The sequence below is a fragment of the Homo sapiens genome, chromosome 4 (genome assembly GCF_000001405.40).
Source record: "Homo sapiens chromosome 4, GRCh38.p14 Primary Assembly".
Classification (NCBI taxonomy): Eukaryota; Metazoa; Chordata; class Mammalia; order Primates; family Hominidae; genus Homo; species Homo sapiens.
Window position 1 is genome coordinate 112535313 of NC_000004.12, and position 22232 is coordinate 112557544.

Genomic DNA, 22232 nt, shown 5'->3' on the forward strand with positions numbered 1-22232 from the left:
CTGTAAAATTTTTGGTTTCGGTGTCTTTTACCCTTTGATAAAGTGACTTACAATGCAGGTGGTGCAATATAGCCTAGCCTGAGAGTTGGGTTAGCTTGGGTTCCAGCCCTGCCTGGTACTACTCATGGTAGATTAGGTGGATCACTTCAATTTTTCTGATCCTTGGCTTAATCATGTACAGAATGGGGAAAATACCTATCCCCCCCACTGGGGTAAATGAGATGTTTGTGAAAAAATCTTCAAAAATAAAAAAATCCAACACACATACTATATAAAGTAAGCAATTAATGATGAGTAGATTAAAGCTTAGAAATTTCATTCTATTTCAATTTGTGATACATAAACTAATAGACTTATTCTATAAATTAAAATCTTGACATTTTTATATAATCCTATCATTTACTGAACATGAGTTGGGAGACATTGTTTTAAGATTATTGTTATGTATAGATGTTTGATGGCTATAATTGTAAAACTGGCTTATTGAGTATATTGTAAAATCCTAAGAAATTTTAATATTTTGATTGTTATTGAACAGGATACTTCTTAAAGTTCAATTCATGTCTATCCAACCTTGGAATTTGAGATGACAAAGATAAAGAATGTGTTAGCCTGGGCTTTGGGGATTTTTTTTTTTAATGTCAAATATTGTTATCTTTTTCTTACTGAAAATAAATATAAAGACCATATTAATATTCAGGGTTCAGATAGTATGTTTTCACTCAAAATATATGATGGAGCCAAAGACAACTCCTCAATGGTCAACACCACCCAATCAGAAGAATGTTTTATTATTCTCTTTAAGAAAGATAAAGTAGATGAGCTCATCGATCTCCCACTCCCTTACTGGGTGTTTGAAGGAAATAAAAAAGTGAGAGCTGCTTCTCACCCCATTTCTGTTGTAAAAGTCTTGGGAAAAAGGAAAGAGTGAAGACTGTGCTCTAATGGACAGGGGCTGGGGCAAGAGCACTAAAATCTGACTCCTAGATATAAACCAGGCCTGCTGCAGCTGACATTACTCTTTGGGATGACATTCTGTGACCCAATCCAGGATGGTAAAGATTAAAACCAGAGACAAAACTATTAATACCATATCCACTGTGGAGTAAGGTCCACCCAGAGTGAAAGAAAGCCTCTCCATCTTCTTGCCCAGGTGGGAATCTCCGTCCTAAACCAAGAGAATGGGGGCAGCATGGAAACAGAGACTAAACCATTTCCATTTCTTCCCCTGCACCACCATTACTTTTTATTTTCTAAAGTGCCTGGTGTAAAAGAGTGTTTAATCTAGTCAGCTATGCAGGTGGGCTAGAAAGAATGGAAAGAATGGTTCTGCAAAAATCAACATTTTCTATTAATTGAGTTTTAGTTTTCTGTTACAATATGCTATAAATTAGAAAAAGGGAAATAATAGCTATGTATAAGATAGAGCTAATCCCTTAGCAAAAAATAGTAGCATCGTATATTATCAATAGTATATTATCAATCTCTTTGCCACTTTCTACACCATAACATTTATACTAACTTCTTATGTTCTAAACAAGAGGAATATTGTTGAATGGGAAGTTCTTTTAAAGATTTCAATGTGTTCCTGTTTAAAAAGGACCCAGGCGTGGTGGCTCATGCCTGTAATCCCAGCACTTTGGGAGGCTGAGGTGGGCAGATCACCTGACGTCAGGAGTTCGAGACCAGCCTGACCAACATGGTGAAACCCCCCCGTCTCTACTAAAAGTACAAAATTAGTTGGGCATGGTGGTGGGCACCTGTAATCCCAGCTACTCGGGAGGCCGAGGCAGAAGAATCACTTGAACTTGAGAGGCAGAGGTTGCAGTAAGCCGAGATCGTGCCACTGCATTCCAGCCCAGGCAACAGAGCAAGACTCTGTCTCAAAAAAATAAATAAATAAATAATAATAATAATAAATAATAATAATAAAAAGGCTCCAATGGGCTCTGTCACATTAAAATAACTACGAAAACACATAAGATAAATATTTGACACTCCTAGCTGACCTATTGTCACAAGTTGGGAGGAATAGTAATGAACTGCTACAATGATATAACTGGATTGAAAATATAAAATTGATACACTACATGTATAATGGCATTAGAAACAGAGTAGGCATGCTCGCTTAAAAATAAAAAAGACCCTTCTCTCCTTTATTAAATATCAAACATACAAGATTTATAACTACCAAAAAATAAGGCAGCTATACTTTTAAGTGCAGTTACTGCTTTCTGAGATTGCTGGAATGCTGAACCCACCCTCTACATCAGAATATTTGGCAATGTCTGGAGCCATTTTTAATTGTCACAACTTTGGGGTAAGGTGCCACTGGCATCTCATGGGCAGAAGCCAGTGATGCTGCTAAAGGGCACAGGACAGCGCCCCCATAAGAAAGAATTGCCTGGTCTAAAAACGTTAAAAATGCCGAAGTTGAGAAATCTTACTCTATACCATCAAGACCTCTCCCTATTATCATAGTAGAAATGGAAATTTCTGGAAAACTGACAAAATGAGAGATGAAGGGAAGGGAGCAATTAATGACAGCACAGGCACAAGTGCAGAAGATTGAGCAGTTCTAGATAAAAGCTAGTAGGATTTAGACTAGGAATTGTGCAAAATCAGTCAGCCATCCCGCTGTAGATCTGAGACAGAAGTTCAACTATCATCCAAATGAACAGTAAGTGAAGCCAAGGGCAATTTACATCGTGTTTACGTAGCTCTCATAAGTGTATGTAACAGAAATATATCCTCAGATATACAAAACCTCAAAAGATATATAATCTATATACTCTTTCTGGGGAAAATAAATTACTTGAGACCTAGCTCCAGCTGGCCAACAGACCAAAATTAAGAAATAAAAAATAGGGAGGTCTGGGCAGCAAAACTCAGGAATCCAGTTTAAATGTATGTTGTCAGTTAGATTGTACAGTTCATGGGTAAGGCGCGGTTCTGTAATACTTCCTTCAACTATTCCTCTGCTTTGTAAGGATCTGTTGGAAGTCACATCTTTCACTTCACAGTTTGGATGAACACTTAAAAAAGCAACTGTTGTTGCACGCAGTAACACATTTGGGAAAAGGCTTGGAGAATTACTAAACCACAAGTTTTGTTGTTGAATTTATTTTTTTCCCTAAGAGTTCCATAGAGACTGACTAGTCATATTCTTTTTATTGTGAAATAATTCAAGTAAGAATTTTCCTGCATCTTTGAAATGAATATTGAGTGACTTGGGTCACTAAGATTTGTTTTTAATTGGTAAAAATATTGCATTGATATTAATTATAATCAAGCACTTGTCATTTTTCCATCCAGGATGTATAAACGCTCTTTTGTTAATAATGTCTAAGAATCAGTGTGGACACAAATGGCTTAAAACTTAACTACATATATACACATAGAATATAAACATAGAAAAAAGACTAAAGGAATATGTTAGTGATTATCTCCAGGTATTGTATTTCTAGGTGATTTTTGTTTTCTGTTGTATACTTCCTTGTATTTTGCAAATTTTCTACATGAAGAATGTATTATTTTTATAATAAAAAGTTGTAATCCATATATATATATATCAATACCTACTATGCAAACAAATGCAGAGGAAAAAAACTAGAAGAAAATGAACCAAAGGTAATCTTTCATTCATCTGTTCATTCTTCCAATGGATACTTATTAAGCACCTACTATATCAGGTATGGGTGCAAGGCACTAGCCATGGTCAGATGTTGAACACTGCTATCTCCAGGTGTAAACTTTTGGTGTTTTTCTTTCTTCTTTTGCGTACTTTTCAAAAGTTTTAAACATAAAAACATATTTGTGAATATGTTTTCATTTATAAAATAGGGAGGCCTTATAATCATTTAAAAAATATTCTGATAAACTTTAGAAAGGTGTTGGTATATCTTATTCTGTACATATGTTCCAACAGATGAGTTCTGGAGACATTCACTTGTTATTGAAGTATACAGGTATTCTCTATAACCTGCCCCTTGTAAAATTCATTTCTTTGGCAAACAGAAATCATTCTTCTTAGAAAAAAGCTTATTTTTATTAGTAGGATTTTATACTACCTTTTGTACACTTTTTTGAAGAACAAAATTTTTACATGTGTTTACTATGTTATTTAAATATCATATTTTTAATAAGAGGGTTTAGAGTAATAAAAATATAAAAAATATATCATGTAAAATGAGTCTGAATTTACATAAATACAAAATATTTACACCATGTCTTTTTATGAATGAGATTTATCTTTAGATTTCTCTTTTTCACTCTTTTTCTTCTGTTTTTCTTCCACTTGTTTTTCAAAATAATCTTTAAGGAGATGGTTCAGCTGTGGTTCATACTGGTTTGCATGTTGCAATCCATCTTCCCTTCCTTAAAAAAACATACGACATGAGACAACTATTCTTTATTTTACAGAGGTCCCAATATTATCATGTCAGTTACTTCCCCCAGCAGAGCTGTTCCTGCTTGAAGCACCCCAAGCATTAACCCATAAAAGTCAGTTTGAACTTGAAATGCATGAATTAAACCCATTTTTATTTTACCTTCGCAGTGTTGGATCACTCGTCCCCAAAGTTGATTTTTCCTCAAACAGGCTAAATTTCCCACAATCAACAAATGCCTCTTTCCTCTAGTCAATGCAACATTCATTCTTTTTTCTGAATCAATGAATCCTACTTGTCTTGTCCTTACACAGGACAGAATAATGATCTCCTTTTCAGCTCCCTGAAAAGCATCTACTGTGGACACCTGCACAGTTTTAATATCAGGATGGTGAAAGTCCACAGCACTGAGTAAATGACAAAGCTGTGGAAGAAAAAACAGCAATCATGTAGTAAGAGATTGTGAAGAACTTAAGCCTCTGAACCTGCTCAAAGCAACCACTGTAATTTAACTAATAGTAAATAATTTTCATTTTTCTTTTATGACTCACATAGACTTGGCTAGTTTCTAAAATGATAGATAAATGACTAGATAAAAATATTAATTATGACACAAAATCAAAAGCAATTTATCTATTGCTGGGTAACTCATTTGGATATGCTAATTTGGAGCTGATAAACTAATAATGAAACAGATAAAAAATACTAAGAGAAAAATCTAGTTAGAAGTAATTGGCTCATGTGTACATTAATATTTGGTATCTATCCTTGATTTACTGATAAAATGTACCAATAATAAAAGAACATTTTGGATAACAGAGATTCAGTCCCATCTGTCTACAAAGCATACACCATATTTTCTTCCCTCTAATTTGCTTTTTGCATTTTTGCCGCAACAGCTGTAAACTAAATTTAATTAAACCTTGTTAGGTTTACATTTAATTATACAGAAAAAAAGCCAGACCAGAAAAAAATCAGAATGTTTCTTTTTTAATATATTAATTACAGTACCAAAAGTTTTTCAGGCACCAAACCAACTACTATAAATGTAATATCAAATATGGTAATATGTAATTGTAATATTTAATATATGGCAAATACTGTAATACATAATACCAACCTTGTACATCTGGGATTTGTATAATGTTATCACACCAATCATAGAGCCTGCTATTCCACTTGCAATCAGTGATTGAATCAGCTTGAGTGTAAACGTAGCTTCTGCCACATTATGAAAGCTGTTATCTCTTTCTATCTGGAGTAAGAAATAGATCCTAAATTATATTTCCCAGAAAGGCTATGGAAAAACCAAGTAAAATCATACAAACAACAACAAAATTAAACCAGGAACCTAAACCATGTTGACTCTCATCAACATTAATGTCATTTACCTGTTCTAGTCCTTTAACATTATAAAAACACAGGGTTGGTAGCCATTCCAATAAAGGGCTCCGCTCTATTTCTGTTACACCATTCATGAGGGCTCCTTTGTAAAACAGATCATTAGCAATAGCACTGATTGCAGGATGACAACGGTATTGAGTTCTCAATAGAATTGGCTTGTGACCCTAAGAAATTTAAATGAAGAAAAATAAAACATAATTTTTTTGTTCTTCTAGGGAAAGAAAATTATATTTTTAAAATTAAAAATATCGCTATATTATGGTCTTAGGAGATGAATTACAACCATGATAGAATAGACTATAAATAAAAATATTTTTTAAATTACTAAAAATATGTTCATATTAATTTAGAAAAATTAGAAAATATAAAAGACGTCAACCTTAGACTTATCTAGTAAGTTTGACTCCTAACATTATGGTTTTTTGTTTTGTTTTTTTTTTTTTTGAGATGGAGTCACCCTGTCGCCCAGGCTGGATTGCAATGGCATGATCTCGGCTCACTGCAACCTCCACCTCCTGGTTTCAAGTGATTCTTCTGCCTCAGCCTCCCGAGTAGCTGGGATTACAGGCACCCACCATCATGCATGGCTAATTTTTGTATTTTTGTAGAGACGGGGTTTCCCCATGTTGGCCAAGCTGGTCTTGAACTCCTGACTCAGGTGATTCACCTGCCTTGGCCTCCCAAAGTGCTGGGATTACAGGCGTGAGCCACCACGCCTGGCCAACATTATGCTTTTATAATATATCTGGAGTTGGTCTAACACTAAATTGAAAAGCATCTCTTAAAAAATTAGGAGGTGTCGTAAATATCTCGTTAACTTTCCTCACTGAGTAAAAGCCATTTTTCATTCTGAATCTTGAAAGAAGTTTCAGATTTTATTAATGCATCATAAAATCCAAGTCCTATCTACTTTAACGCTCTTCGAGCAAAAAGTTCTGTAGTAAATAATGCTCACGCCAGGCGCAGTGGTTCAACGCCTGTAATTCCAACACTTTGGGAGGCCAGGGTGGGAGGATCACCTGAGGTCAGGAGTTCAAGACCTGCCTGGCAAACATGGTAAAACCCCGTCTCTACTAAAAATTTAATAATTAGCCAAGCATGGTGGCAGGCACCTGTAATCCCAGCTATTTGGGAGGCTGAGGCAGGAAAATCGCTTGAACCCAGGAGGCAGAGGTTGCAGTGAGCCGCTCAAATGTTAAAGAAATGACTAAATTATGGTATATCTGCACAACATAATACTTAGTGATCAACATATTTATGACAACAGTAATGATTACAAAGCTAGTAGTAACAAGGGGAGATGATTTACTAGTATGCAAAGTTCAAAAAGGCAAGAGAGAAGTTATATTTACGGTATGGTTTCAACTATGTACAAATACATACATTTGATATAGGCATATAACCCTAGGATAAAAGATGGAAGGAAAAATACTAAAATATTACCAAGAGTTTTCTCTTAAGGGCAGTGAAGTTATTACAGATGTTTTTGTTTTGTTTTTACCTTTTTTCTTTCTTTTTTGAGACAGGGTCTCGCTGTTGCTTAGGCTGGCCTCAAACTCCTGGGGCTCACACGATCCTTCTGCCTCAGCTTCCTGAGTAGCTGGGACTACAGGTGCCTGACACCCCACCCAACTTTATCTATTTTTTTCTTTTCTTTCCTTTTCTTTCTTTCCTTCCTTCCTTCCTTCTTTCTTTTTTCTTTTCTTTTCTTTTTCTTTCTTTCTTTCTTGTTTCAAAGAGTCAGGATCCTGCTCTGTTGCCCAGGCTGGAATGCAGTGGTGAGATCATAACTCACTGCAGCCTCGAACTCCTGGATTCATATGACCCTCCCACCTCAGCCTCCCAAGCAGCTGAGATTATAGATTATAGGCATGAGCCATCACACCCAGCTTGCCTTTTCTCTTTTCTGTAGTTTCCACACTTTCTATAATGAGTAGTGATTACTTTTATTTCTTTTACTTTTAATAATTGTGAACTAGTTCAAATATACAGAAAGCAAAGAAACAATATTATATCCATGAACTTACCACCCAGACTTGACATTAGCCATATTAAGTCATTTTTGTTTTGGCTCTCTTTTTTGTTAGATAAAATATGACATATATAGCTAAAGATCCCCCTTCATTGCTTTCTTCTACCGCCTTTCCCAGAAATAACCCCAGTCCTGATTTTGTTTTGTGGACTCATCATACATGTTTTTATATGTTTATTGTATTAGTATGAATCTATGAATAATATATATTATGTGCTTTTGAAATTCTCGTAAATGGCATTTTACTATAATTATCCCTTTGTGCTTTGTTTCTTTCAATATCCACTATGTTTCTGAGAACTATCTATATGGATCAAGCTCATTCATAATTGTTTTTTATTCTACTCTGCGACTAAATCACTTTTTTGTCCATCCCTTATTTGCCCTTTTAGAATTCCCCCAAATAAAAACCTACTTCATATTTTAAAAGGCATTGAAAATAGGTACATGAAAAAGGGCAGAACAGTGTGCAGAGTACACTACCATTTGTTAAAACAGGGAGGGAAAATGTTATGTATTTGCTTACAGGCATAAAATATCACAAGAAAGGTACAAGAAAGGAATGACAGTTTCTTTGAAGGGGAGAGAACGAATGGTTGGGGGACAGGAGGAGAAGTCTTCACTATTTCCACGTTTTTTGGTTCCGCTTGAATTTTGAACCATATGACTATATTACCTATTCAAAAATGTTTTAAGAATTTAGATAACTTTTTATTTAAAAAATTTTTTTGGTAGAGGCAGGGTCAGAGCTCCGGTGCCAGAGCTGGTGTTGAACTCGTGACCTCAAGTGATCCTCCCACCTCAGTCTCCCAAAGTGCTGGGATTTACAGGCTGGAGCCACCATGCCCAGCCCTTTTTTAAGATAATTTTTTTTTAGTTAAGATTTTTTTTAAAAAGCCATTGAAAATGTCTAATACAAAAGAGGTTGGATACTGACTTGTCATAGAAGAAGTAGAAAGTTTTGCAATTAAATTCAATTACAATTAACAGCTCAAGACAACTGAAAGCTTCGTTCTTTGCAAAACGGAATACAATTCAACTCAAAATTCAATGCAACTTGAAACTCAATCTAAGGTGGAACTTCTTAATTAAGAAGGTAGAATAAAGCTGCCTTGTAGAATCCATTCTCCAATATATAAAGGTACAATAAATACAAAAACAACAGCAAAGAAAATTCAGCAATTATGCAACAAAGAAAGATTTACAGCCAACCCAATGCCATAAACTTAAAAAAGTACTTGTCATTGAGAAAGAAACAAGATTCTGGGGTGGAAGTAGAAAATGCAGCATAGTGAGCCAGAATTCATATGATGGCAACGGTTCCTAAGAAGAATAACGAAAAAGGGAAAGTGAACTTGACAGTTTTTAGTAGAATTGAAGGCTCAAGAACTGTGTCCCTTTCCCAGAGAAGGGATACTCTTGGGCCTCAGATGTCCTGTCACTTTGATGGGACACCACCATAATTCCAGGTACGGAGAAAACAGAGAATACAGATCTGAGAGAGTATCTGACATTCAAGCATGAACACCAGAAAATGAAACAAGAATGGCAACTATACAAACATAGTGTTTATATAGTTGTATAGTTTGTATAGAAACAGTGTTCTCTCTTTCTCTGCCATGTGAGGACACAGCAAGAAGGTAGCATCTACAAGCCAATGACCAATGGAAAAGAATAGAAAGTCCAGAAATAAACCCTTGTACATGTGCTCAACTGATTTTTGATGAGGGTTCCAAGACAATTACATGGGAGAAAAGGATAGTCTTTTCCACACATGGTATTGGGAAAACTATATATCCACATGCAAAAGAATGAAGTTGGACCCTTATCTCAAACCATGTACAAAAATTAACTCAAAATGGATCAAAGACCTCAACATAAGAGCTAAAATTATAAAATTCTTAGAAGAAAATATTGGGGAAAATTTTCATGACATTGGATTTGGCAATAATTTCATACCTATAACACCAAAAGCACAAGCAACAGAATAAAAAATAGGTAAACTGAACTTCATCGAAATTAAGAACTTTTGTGCATCAAAAAACACTATTAAAGTGAAAAGACAACCAACAAAATGGAAAAAAAAATTGTAAATCATATATTTGAAAAAGGATTAATTTCCAGAATATATTTAAAAAAAAAAACCTCCTATAACTCAACAACAAAAAACCAAACAACCCAATTAAAAAATAGGCAAAGGAGTTGAATAGGCATTTCTTCAAAAAGAATATAAATGGCTAATAAGCACATGAAAAGATGTTCAAGATCATTAGTCTTTAGGGAAACCACAATAAGATACCCCTTCACACCCATTAGGATGGCTATGATATTCAAAAACCAACAAGAAGTGTTGGTGAGAATGTGGAGAAATCAGAACACTTGTGCACTGCTGTTGGGAAAGTAAAATGACGCCGCTGCTATAGAAAAAAGTTTGGTGGTTCCTCAAAAATTTAAATGTACAATTATCATATGACTCAACAATTATACTTCTGGGTATGTATTGAACTGAAAGCAGGGATTTGAACAAGTATCTGTATATCAATGTTCACAGGAGATTTTTCACAAGAGCCAAAACGTGAAAACAACCCAACTATCTATCAACAGAAATGTAGTACACACATGCAATGGAATATTATTTAGCCTTATAAAGAAATGAAATTCTGATACATGCTACAAGGATGAACTCTAAACACATTATGCTAAGTAAATAAGACAGACATAAAATGACAAATACTGTATGACTCTACTCAAATGAGGCACCTAGAATAGGCAAATTCACAGAGCTAGAAAGTAGAACACAGGTTACTTACTAGGGGCTGAGGGAAGAGGAAATGGGAAATTATTGCTTAACAGTTCAAAATTTCTGTTTGGGATAATGAAAAAATTCTGGAAATGGACAAGTGATGGTTGTACAACATTATGAATGTACTTTAAAGTAATAATAATAATAATAATAATGTAGTACCAATACATGCTGCAACATGAATGAACCTCAAAAAGTGAAAGAAGACAGACACAAAAGGTACATATTGTATGATTCCATTTATATAAAATATCCGGAATAAATAAATCCATACAGAGAGAAAGCAGGCTGGTGTTTGCCAGAAGCTATAGGGAAGAGGAAATGGGCAGTTAACTGCTAAATGGGTAAGAATTTTATCTTGAAGTGATGAAAACATTTTGAAACCAGACAGAGGTAGTGGTTACACAAGAAACTGTGAATGTACTAAATGCTACTAAACTGTTCACTTTAAAATAGTTTCTGCTATATAAACTGCATGCTGTAAAGAAAAAAAAGTTTTTTTTAAGAAATTTAAAAAATGGTTTTATGTTAGATGAATGCAATGGTTTGAATGTGTCCCTCAAATTTCATGTGTTGGAAACTTCATCCCCAATGCAACAGTGTTGAGAGGTGGGACTTTCAAAAGGTGATTTAGGTCATGAGGATTCTGCCTAATCCTCACGGATTAATCCCATTATCACATGAGTGGGTTCCTCATAAAAGGATGGATTTGTGAATGGATTAATGCCATTCCTGGTATATGTGTGTGGGTTAATGGATGAATGCCATTATCACATGAGTGGCTTACTCATAAAAGGATGAGTTTGGCCTCTCACACTCTCTTGCTCTTCTGCCTTCCACCACAGGATGACAACGAAGCAAGAAGGCCCCTGCCAAATGCAGGTCCCCAGGTCTTAGACTTCTCAGCCTCCAGAACTATAAGAAATAAATCTCTGTTCTCTATAAATTACCCAGTCTCAGGTTTTTCTGTTATACCAGCACAAAATAGACTAAGACAGTAAATTCAACCCCAATTAAAAAATGTTAATAATTTAAAAATTATTTACAATGTGAAGTAGTGCTCTAGGTAGATAATAGAGACATTATAGGTTTTTTTGGTTTTAGAGCAAAAGTTATATACTCCTACCCACTACTCAAATAGTGAAAAAATTCTTTTTATAAAAGGGCACTTAAATTATAGGGTTCCACTTGTCTTTAAGATGAATACTTACTTTCCAGACAACTCCAATTATACATTATTTTAAGGCAGGACTAAGTCTTCTAATATTTTCATTCTCTATCAACACACACACACACAATGTAGAATCAATAAATGATAATTCCGTAAGAATTCAGCAGTATGTACCATTAAGCAAAGTCGATCAAAAAGAGTTTGTTCCAATCCATTTTCATGAGCTGCATCAGAACCCTGAATAGTAGGAGGTAGCTGTTTGGGATCCCCAACAAGAATCAGCTTTTCACACTCAAACCTAAAACAGAATTTCAAAAATTAATCTAAGCAATTAAAATGGGTGCATTAACATCATTTATTGCACTGTTTGCCAAAATTGCACTTCGAAATATTCAAATGCCATGAAGTATCCTGAGTACTAATAAAGCTTAGTAGTGCTATTAAGCGCATTAAAGGCTTTGAAAAGTTATGCAATAAAGAATCCTTTATATAATTTAGTTGCCCTCCCTGCACATAAAACCTAGTAGGTGCCCCTTGCCTCTGCATGGAATTAATATTTCACAAAGCATATTTGGGAAATGCTGGTTTTTAGAATCCATAAACTCTTAAAATTAAAGTCTTTCTTAGGAGTCATTTAGCTTAAACCCTTGTTTTAGAAGTGAAGTAAATTGGGTTCTTAGGGGCTAAATGTTTTCCTAAATAGGAGTAGGATATAGTGGGGAAAAATCAAAGTTTTATAAACAAACCTATATCAAATCTGAACTCCATTATATTTTAGAGACCCAGCAAGTTATTTAATCCTTTCATGCTTCAGTATTATTATTCTTTTTCTTTTTTTCTTTTTTTTGAGACGGGGTTTTACTCTGTGTCATCCAGGCTGGAGTGCAGTCGTTCAATCCCTGCTCACTGCAGCCTTGACCTCCTGGGCTCAAACAATCCTCCCACCTCAGCCTCCCAAGTTGCTGGGATTTTAGGCACACACTACCATGCCCAGCTAATTTTGTATTTTTTGTAGAAATGGGGATTCGCCATGTTGTCCAAGCTGGTCGCAAACTCCTAGACTCAAGCAATCCACCTGCCTCAGCCTCCTAAAGTGCTAGGATTACAGGTATTACCCCTGGGGAAAGAATCTTTTAGGTTACCTTGCAATGGGAAGGAGAGAGGCCGGTTCAGTTATCTGACTACACTCATCCAGCACAACTACAGGAAATTTAAGATCATTCATGCATGGGAATGGGCAGGCTGCACAGGTAACTCCAACTACTCGAACCTTTATTACAACAAAAATGTTATTAATTAACAATTATTAAAAGAAAATAAGAGAACGTATTTACCAAAGAACTTGTAGGCTAAAATTAGAGAGTGAGCTAGTCCTAATTTAATTCCTAGCCATCAGAAATCTTAGGTCATCGTATCTCCAAATTTTTATTATTCCTACATACAAAATGGAAATCAACAAATGTAAGTTACTTAAGCCACAAGCCCATTAACAAGAACAAATAAAAGACATATTTTGATATTCAGACGGAAAGTATCACAATATCAAGCATTTGTTAAACATCTAGGATGACGCACATATTTTATCTTCTAGATGAGGTTAGACAACATACATTATATCAACACAGGCCAAAGTTCTTCACAAAGAATATTAAATATGCTAACGAAATATTCTTTGCTTAACCTTCAAGCACATTAGTTTTATTTATTTAAAAATGTAAAGATGGCCGGGCGCGGTGGCTCACGCCTGTAATCCCAGCACTTTGGGAGGCCGAGGCGGGCGGATCACGAGGTCAGGAGATCGAGACCATCCCGGCTAAAACGGTGAAACCCCGTCTCTACTAAAAATACAAAAAATTAGCCGGGCGTAGTGGCGGGCGCCTGTAGTCCCAGCTACTTGGGAGGCTGAGGCAGGAGAATGGCGTGAACCCGGGAGGCGGAGCTTGCAGTGAGCCGAGATTGCGCCACTGCACTCCAGCCTGGGCGACAGAGCGAGACTCCGTCTCAAAAAAAAAAAAAAAAATGTAAAGATGACTAATTCTAAACAACAGTAAATAAAATGTACTCATAGCCTGTAAGTGTATTTGAATCTTGTAAGTTACACATTATAGCAGCATGCCATTACTCTCAAGGCAAAAAGCTTCATAAAAACTGATTTTTAATCTCTAGAATTAGATGTAAACAATAGGGAAATCTATGAATTTTCTAATTAGATGTAGTCACTGACCTAGTAGCCCGCTATCTATACACACATGTGTACATACACATATACACACGTACACACACATTTGTGTACATATACATACGTGTGTATAAACACAAACACATACACATACATGTACATATACATATACAGTCATGTGCCACATAACAATGTGATGTTTTGGTCAATGATGGACCAGATGTATGATGATGGTCTCATAAAATTATAATGGAGCTGAAAAATTCCCAGCCCTTAGTGACATCACAACCCTCACAGCACAATGCATTTATTCATGTATTTGTGGTGATACCGGTGTAAACAAACCTACTGTACTGCCAGTCATATAAAAGTATAGCACATACAGTTACGTACAGTTCATAATACTTGATAATAAATGACCATTTTAGCGGTTTATACATTTACTATAGTATACTTTTAATATTATTTTAGAATGTACTCCTACTTCTTAAAAAAAAAAAAGTTGGCTATAAAACAGTTTCAGGGACGCCTTTCAGGAGGTATCCATAAGAAGGTATTGTTATCATAAGCGCTGACAGCCCCATGTGTCCTAGTGCCCCTAAAAATTTTCCAGTGGGACAAGGCTGGGCGCAGTGGCTCAAGCCTGTAATCCCAGCACTTTGGGAGGCTGAGGCGGGCAGATCACGAGGTCAGGAGATCGAGACCATCCTGGCTAACATGGTGAAACCCCGTCTCTACTAAACATACAAAAAAATTAGCCGGGCGTGGTGGCGGTGCCTGTAGTCCCAGCTACTTGGGAGGCTGAGGCAGGAGAATGGCGTGAACCCGGGAGGCAGAGCTTGCAGTGAGCCAAGATCGCGCCACTGCACTCCAGCCTGGGCGACAGAGCGAGACTCCATCTCAAAAAAAAAACAACAAAAAAAACTTTCTAGTGGGACAAGATGTAGAGGTGGAAGACAGTGCTATATTGATGATCCTGACCCTGAGTAAGCTTAGAATAATGTGTTTGTATCTTAGTTTTCAACAATTAAAAAAAAAAGTTTTAAAGGTAAAAAAAGAAAAATTTTAAATAAAAAAGCTTATGAAATATTTTTGTATATACAAAATGTTTGTGTTTTAAGCTGTGTTATTACAAAAGAATCAAACAGTTTTTAAAAATTTTCAACTTTATAAAGTCAAAATGTTATAATAAGCTAAAGTTAATTTATTATTGAAGAAAGAAAAAATTTTAAAATAAATTTGGGGTAGCCTAACTGTACAGCGTTTATAAAGTCTACAGTAGGCCGGGCGCGGTGGCTCACGCCTGTAATCCCAGCACTTTGGGAGGCTGAAGCAGGCGGATCGCTTAAGGTCAGGAGTTTGAGACCAGCCTGGCCAACGTGGTGAAACCCCATCTCTAATAAAAATACAAAACTTAGCCAGGCGTAGTGGCAGGAGTCTGTAATCTCAGCTACTCGGGAGGATGAGGCAGAAGAATCGCTTGAACCCAGGAAGCAGAGGTTGCAGTGAGCTGAGATCACAAACTGCACTCCAGCCTGGACAGAGCAAGATTCTATCTCAAAAAAATTAAAAATTTTTTTAGAAGTCTACAGTAGTGTACAGTAATGTCCTAGGCTTCCACATTCACTCACCACCCACTCACTGACTCAGCCACAGTGACTTCCAGTCCTGCAAGCTCCATTCATGGTCAGTTAACTATAAAGTTAACTATTAAAAAGCTATAGTATATATAGTTTTCTGAGGACTTCTACAACCAAAACTTTGTGGTTATTATTTCCAATTTCTCCTTCCCTCCCTCCCTATACAGGTGTACCATTTTAAATATTTTATACCATATTTTCACAGTACATTTTCTGTTTAGATACAGAAATACCACCATGTTACAATTAAATGCCTACAGTATTCAGTACATGCTGTATAGATTTGTAGCTGAGGAGCAATAGGCTATACTATGTAGCCTAGTGTGTAGTAGGCTATACCATCTAGGTTTGTGTAAGTACACTATGACGTTCACACAATGACAAAATTGTAAAACAATACATTTCTCAGAATGATATATGACTGTACTTATTCTCTTCTAACAATCTGAAGATCTATAAAATTACACTTCTTGATAGCAAGGGCAGTTCATACCAACTGACCATACCTTTTTTCAACAAACTAACAAAAAATATGCTTTACAAATTAAATACTGCCTCCACAGATCCTACAAAATAAGAAAACATTACAACTGCCTTATTTTAATAATAAATAATATTCACCACACACAATAGCCCTGTATCAGTTAGGTTTTCTTCTTTTGTTAAAAACAAAAACAAAAATCTTAAAGCCACATTTATATCAGAAATTCCACAGTATTTAAATATTGAGTTCTTTAAAAATGATCAAGCTTTGGTGCCACTCTGAAATATTATTCATTTTATTTAATTTCTGGCAACTATATCTACAAAACAATCTTAGAATGAGAACTCTAAAGTTATGTGTCAAGAAGCATTTTTTAAATTTAAAGAAATATCTAATACAAAAACCTAAAGTATTAAGTTTTCTTTAAAAAATTATGTTATCTTTTTATTTATTATTATGTTGCTGAGATTCTAACAGCAGAAAAGATTTTGTTACTGACCTAGCAAGTATTAATTAACTATGAAGCATTTTTAAAAATTAGTTTTATTGTGAAGACATGCCACTTTAGAAATGAGTCAGGTCTTCCGGGCGCGGTGGCTCATGCCTGTAATCCCAGCACTTTGGGAGGCAGAGGTGGGAGGATCACTTAAGGTCAGGAGTTTGAGACCAGCCTGGCCAACACTGTGAAACCCTGTCTCTACTAAAAATACAAAAATTAGCCGGGTGCGGTGGAATGTGCCTGTAGTCCCAGCTACTCAGGATGCTGAGGCAGGAGAATTGCTTGAACCAAGAGGTGGAGGTTGCAGTGAGCTGAGACTGCGCCACTGCACTCCAGCCTGGGTGACAGAGCGAGACTCTGGCTCAAAAAAAAAAAAAAAGAAAGAAAGAAATGTGTCAGGTCCGAATGCCTGGCTGGACCTTAGAAATATGTCAGAGAAAATTTCTAAAAAATAATTCCTCTAAAATAGTTTTCATTTGTGAATAGGTGATACAAATGAGCAATAGATCATAGTAACTGGGCTTTCATTCAGAAAATCATCCAAGAAATCATTAACAATGATATATATGAATAATGATTCTTATATATCATTGTTACGTTGGGTGAGTAAAATGATAAGTAGTTTACATAAATGACTAATTTGTATTAATTGAACACAGCCAAACTAAGCCTTTCTGGATTTGGTTAAGAAGAGAGTATAGAGTTAACTCTATAATTCAAATAACAGAAAGTTAGTCTGAAGTTTTCTGAGGACTTCCAGAACCAAAACTTGTTATAGATTGGTTATTATTTTCAGTTTCTCCTTCCCGCCCTAGGAAAGTATTATTACATATCCACACCCTTTGCCATGTTACTTGGCAGTGCTTCCCACCAGAGAAGTAGGGGAGTATATTTCCCTGCCTCACTGATGTTAGGCTTGGCCGTGTGACCTGTGCAAATGGAATGTCAGCAAACATAATATGAACTGAAGCTTTAAATGTGTTTCTGTGATCTGTCCTGCCCTCTTGCACTTCTGCCATCTGTTAGAAGATCATGCCATAGCAACTGTTCTCAGAATAAGAGACTTTACCCATAGCCTCAAGCCAAGCCACACCACTTGACCTGTAGAGTCATAAGCTGTTGTCTTAAAGTACTGAGACTGAGTTTGTTAACCCTCATTATTTCAGCAATAGCTGATCAATACAGTGTCCCAAGTAGACTCATTTTCTCAACTCTCTAGCAGAAAGTTACCAATGTGCAAGTGGCCCAAGAAGCCAACAACTTTCTTTTACTCCATCCCCATTGCTTTTCCCCATGCTCTCCTTTCATAGGAGGAAGCTGCTGATTGATTTTTTCTCTTCCAACAGCTGATGCCCAGGCTTCCCTAGATCAAAACTTGATAAAGGAGATAGTGCTACCTGTTACAGCCTGGAATCTTGTGTGCTTAGTCTTGGCTTCCAATACCTGGAAGCTAGCGTCTGAGCCTCCTGGATTCTTGGATATATACAAACACTAAAAGTCTTGGCTTTCTTGGAGAGCATCAAACACAAATTTCATTTGGATATTTTACTCAGGGTCAGATCCTCTCCATCACTGTTTCTCCTAGAATACAACTAATTTCATTTAACTTGTAAGGAATCTATTCCCACCTCTATACTTTCCTCTTCAAGCCTATAAAAAGAAAGTAAACAGGGAGAAGGAGAAAGGATGACTCGGTCATGGTGAGTTGGATCTATTCACGAATTTGAAGAATGCTTTGAAGCAAACATAAAACATACACTGGGTAGACTATATCCAAGGATCCACATGCATGCACCTTAGTAGAATATAAACTATCATAGCAGTTTGTTTTATTTAAAGGAAATATTATTTCATCAACAGAAATAAGAGAATCTGAATGGTATATATAAATCAAGAAACAAATTGAAGCTACTACTTCTTACCTGCTTCAGCAGGGTTCTATTGGTCCCCAGTTTATGCTGCTCAATGCTTTTTCTCACATAGACTCTTTCCGTAGGAGTCAGGTCTTCTTTCATTAGTGCATGTAGTTCTTTTAACTGTTCACTTTCATTTTCTGAGCCAGCATGCAAGCTAAAGAATTATATTAAAACACTCCTCTTTATTCCATTTTTCATAACATCACAGTAAAGCAAAATATAGATTTTCTTTTTTTTATTATACTTTAAGTTTTAGGGTACATGTGCACAATGTGCAGGTTTGTTACATATGTATACATGTGCCATGTTGGTGTGCTGCACCCATTAACTCGTCATTTAACATTAGGTATATCTCCTAATGCTATCCCTCCCCCCTCCCCCCACCCACAACACGCCCCAGTGTGTGATGTTCCCCTTCCTGTGTCCATGTGTTCTCATTGTTCAATTCCCACCTATGAGTGAGAACATGTGGTGTTTGGTTTTTTGTCCTTTCGACAGTTTGCTGATCCCATTACTGGGTATATACCCAAAGGATTATAAATCATGCACACGTATGTTTATTGCGGCAGTATTCACAATAGCAAAGACTTGGAACCAAGCCAAATGCCCAACAATGACAGACTGGATTAAGAAAATGTGGCACATATACACCATGGAATACTATGCAGCCACAAAAAATGATGAGTTCATGTCCTTTGTAGGGACATGGATGAAGCTGGAAACCATCATTCTCAGCAAAATACAGATTTTCTAAGTTAACCAAGTAAAGATAAGCCTTTCTCCATTCTTCAAAAATCAAACTTAAGGTAAGAGTGATATAAAAGTACCATACTTCCCTCTGACCATTCTGTGACTTCTGGAATTTTGCATTCTTACCTATAAGGTAAAATTGGTTTGGCAATCTTCCTAACACTCCCAACTCTGATAAAGTTTTCAAATCCAAGACTGAGAAGCCTTTAAATAAGAAAACAATATAGATTCTGATTATTTAGGAAACAGAATATAAAGTTTCATATAATAACTGTTACTACAACTAATTTTGTGTAACAGTATATTTTAATTATAAAATTTAATGTGAAATACCTAAACTCAAACAAAGTAAATGCAAGTAGTTGGTTTTTTAAATATAATGCATTTTCTAGAGAATTTTAAAATACGCATTATTCCATCTTGAAGGCTCACTAAATGTTCATAAAATGCCAATGTTAGTATTTACCACAAATAAAATTGCCTCTAAAGACATAATATAGAAAGCAATAGCTATCATATACTTAGCACCAAGATTTGTTAGGAAGAGCCTCTTTACATATGTTATACTGTTTAACACTCACTACAGCTCCAGATGATATCTACTCTTAGAGATGAGGACACAAGCTCAGAGGTGAGGTATCATGATTCAAGCCCAAGCAACTCTGTCTACATCCAAAGGTTATGACCTTTCCTCTACATACATTATCCCCCAGTTAGGGCTTTGTGAGGAAGGACCCCTCACCTACACTTCCCTTTTATATATCTTACAGCTCTAGCACTATGCTGGGAACACAGGTGGAACTCAGTGAATACTCAACCCTCTAAAACTTCTACCACCTCAAAATGGGAATTTAAAGAGCTGGAGAACTAAACTATAGATCTCTAAAAACAATTTTCCAAAATAATTATGAAACAAACTAGTGTCAATACATGAAAAGATTTCGATTTTCACATTTTTCACAGTCTTCACCCTGAAGAATAATAGCAACTTAACAGGCTGAAATACTAGTTTACAATTTTTTTTCCAATGCAAGTTTGGTTAAATCTATAATAATAAGGGACGCAGTCTCCTCAAAGTACTATTCACCCCATGCTCTTTCATTTCTTCTCAAGAAACTGTTCTATCCATTAATCAATAGGAAAACATTGTCTGTTCAAGCACACAATGAGAAGGTTATTTCAGTGTGAAGAAATGTACGAAACCAGACTATAAGCAATTGAGGCACAGATCCTAATTAGAGATTCACATTTCTCAGGTTCTTCTCAGAGATTTAAGCATTAAAGAATCTCTTTTATAAGTTTCCTGTTAACTTTTAGTATTGAGTACTTACCCTCCCTCCTCATTCTAACTTCTCGTTTTTTTGTTTTCTTTTGTTTTTTAATATTGTTTTGTTTTCTAACAGTCTACAGTTAAATTTTCACTTTGGGCTAAGCAATCTAAAGTTCCTTCCTGTGTAGTCTCCAGGTAACTCCTCATTGTCTTTAATTTAAAAAAAAAACAAAAACAAAAAACAACGTTGTCCTCAGCCACTCTTTTAAATTGCTTATAAGAGTGTGTACTGGAAGAATCTTTCTGAAGGGAAATTTGAAAAGTATATTTAGAAGCTTAAAAGTTTTCATATTTTTTATTCTAGACTTAGGATTATTTTCCTAAGGAAAGAATCAGAAATGGATACAGAGTTTTATGTTTAAGGATCTTTGTCATAATATAATTCATACTGGCAAGAATTTGGAAATAATTTACTGATCAAAAATTGCTTAATGTATGGTATAAGAAAATCATTGAATATAATAGAGTTATAAAAAATTACATTTTCTAAGTTTTTTTTTGAGACAGAGTCTCACTTTGTCACCCAGGCTAGAGTGCAGTGGTATGATCTTGGCACAATGCAACCTCCACTCCTGGGTTCCAGTGATTCTTGTGCCTCAGCTGCCCAAGTAGCTGGAATTACAGGCATATGTCACCATTCCCAGCTAATTTTTATATTTTTGGTAGAGACGGGGATTTGCCATGTTTGTTGGCCAGGCTAGTCTTGAACTCCTGGCCTCAAGTGATCTGCCCACCTCAGCCTCCCAAAGTGCTGGGAATACAGGCATGAGCCAACCTTTTAAGTAAGAAAAGCAGGACACAAACAACACATACTACTGAATCTCAAATTTGGAAAACAAAATGTGTGCATGTATATTTAAAAATCTGTAAATAAATATAATAAAACATCTGTGTAGTCTGCATATATTCTACCATAAGTATTAACTTATATAATTATAAAAATTAATTTTTAAAAAGCTTACGCTTAGAAATAATGACTGTTTCTCCTAATCAAACTTTGCCATTTATGTTGAAATTCAGATCATTAAACATCAGAACACTGGTGAAATACTGTAATACTTCTTTGCATTTTTAATAGTCTTATGCAATCACAAAAATTATCTTAAAAACAGATTGTCTTCTTTGCATTCCTCTTATTGAAATAAAAAACATAATGTACTTAAATTTGTTCAGCCATTTTACTATTATGTATTCATATAGGCAGATGAACAAGAGACTAATCTATAACTACTGATTCTGGAATTTGATTTTAGCCTACTTCTTCTTCTTTTTTTTTTTTTTGAGACAGATTCTCCCTCTGTCACCCATGCTGGAGTGCAGTGGTGCAGTCTCAGCTCACTGCAGCCTCTGCCTCCTGAGTTCAAGCAATTCTCCTGCCTCAGCCTCCTGAGTAGCTGGGATTGCAGGCACCTGGCACCAAGCCAGGCTAAGTTTTTTTGTATTTTTAGTAAAGACGGGGTTTCACCATGTTGGCCAAGCTGGTGTTGAACTTCTGACATCAAGTGATCTGCCTGCATTGGCCTCCCAAAGCACTGGGATTACAGGCATGAGCCACCATGCCCAGCCTGATTTTAACCTACTTCTAACGTAACAGACCCAAGACTTCTAGATCAGAGACAAAGGACTTTTACTTATG

At 35.9% G+C, this 22232-nt stretch overlaps 1 protein-coding gene and 1 long non-coding RNA gene across 26 annotated transcripts in view; one reads left to right on the forward strand and one right to left on the reverse strand.

The window, feature by feature from the left end:
- Positions 1-11573, forward strand: part of NEUROG2-AS1 (NEUROG2 and ZGRF1 antisense RNA 1) — a 31507-nt gene extending 19934 nt beyond the window's left edge. Inside the window, exon 4 of the long non-coding RNA NR_161159.1 lies at positions 11473-11573. This is a non-coding gene — a long non-coding RNA (NEUROG2 and ZGRF1 antisense RNA 1). The remainder of the gene's footprint in view (positions 1-11472) is intronic.
- Positions 4027-22232, reverse strand: part of ZGRF1 (zinc finger GRF-type containing 1) — a 97571-nt gene continuing 79365 nt past the window's right edge. For 22 of the 25 annotated variants that reach the window (XM_047415917.1, XM_047415914.1, XM_011532092.3 and 19 more), the window contains 8 exons: positions 19393-19470; positions 18523-18670; positions 12941-13068; positions 11973-12096; positions 5780-5956; positions 5509-5643; positions 4551-4812; positions 4027-4377 (listed from right to left, as the gene is read on the reverse strand). In XM_047415917.1, the coding sequence (XP_047271873.1) occupies positions 4235-4377; positions 4551-4812; positions 5509-5643; positions 5780-5956; positions 11973-12096; positions 12941-13068; positions 18523-18670; positions 19393-19470 (1195 nt within the window). In that variant the 3' untranslated portion in view covers positions 4027-4234. Of the gene's footprint in view, positions 4378-4550; positions 4813-5508; positions 5644-5779; positions 5957-11972; positions 12097-12940; positions 13069-13132; positions 13233-18522; positions 18671-19392; positions 19471-22232 lie in introns of those variants that run through there. The other 3 variants (XM_047415921.1, XM_047415920.1, XR_938764.2) reach the window with 2 other exon arrangements.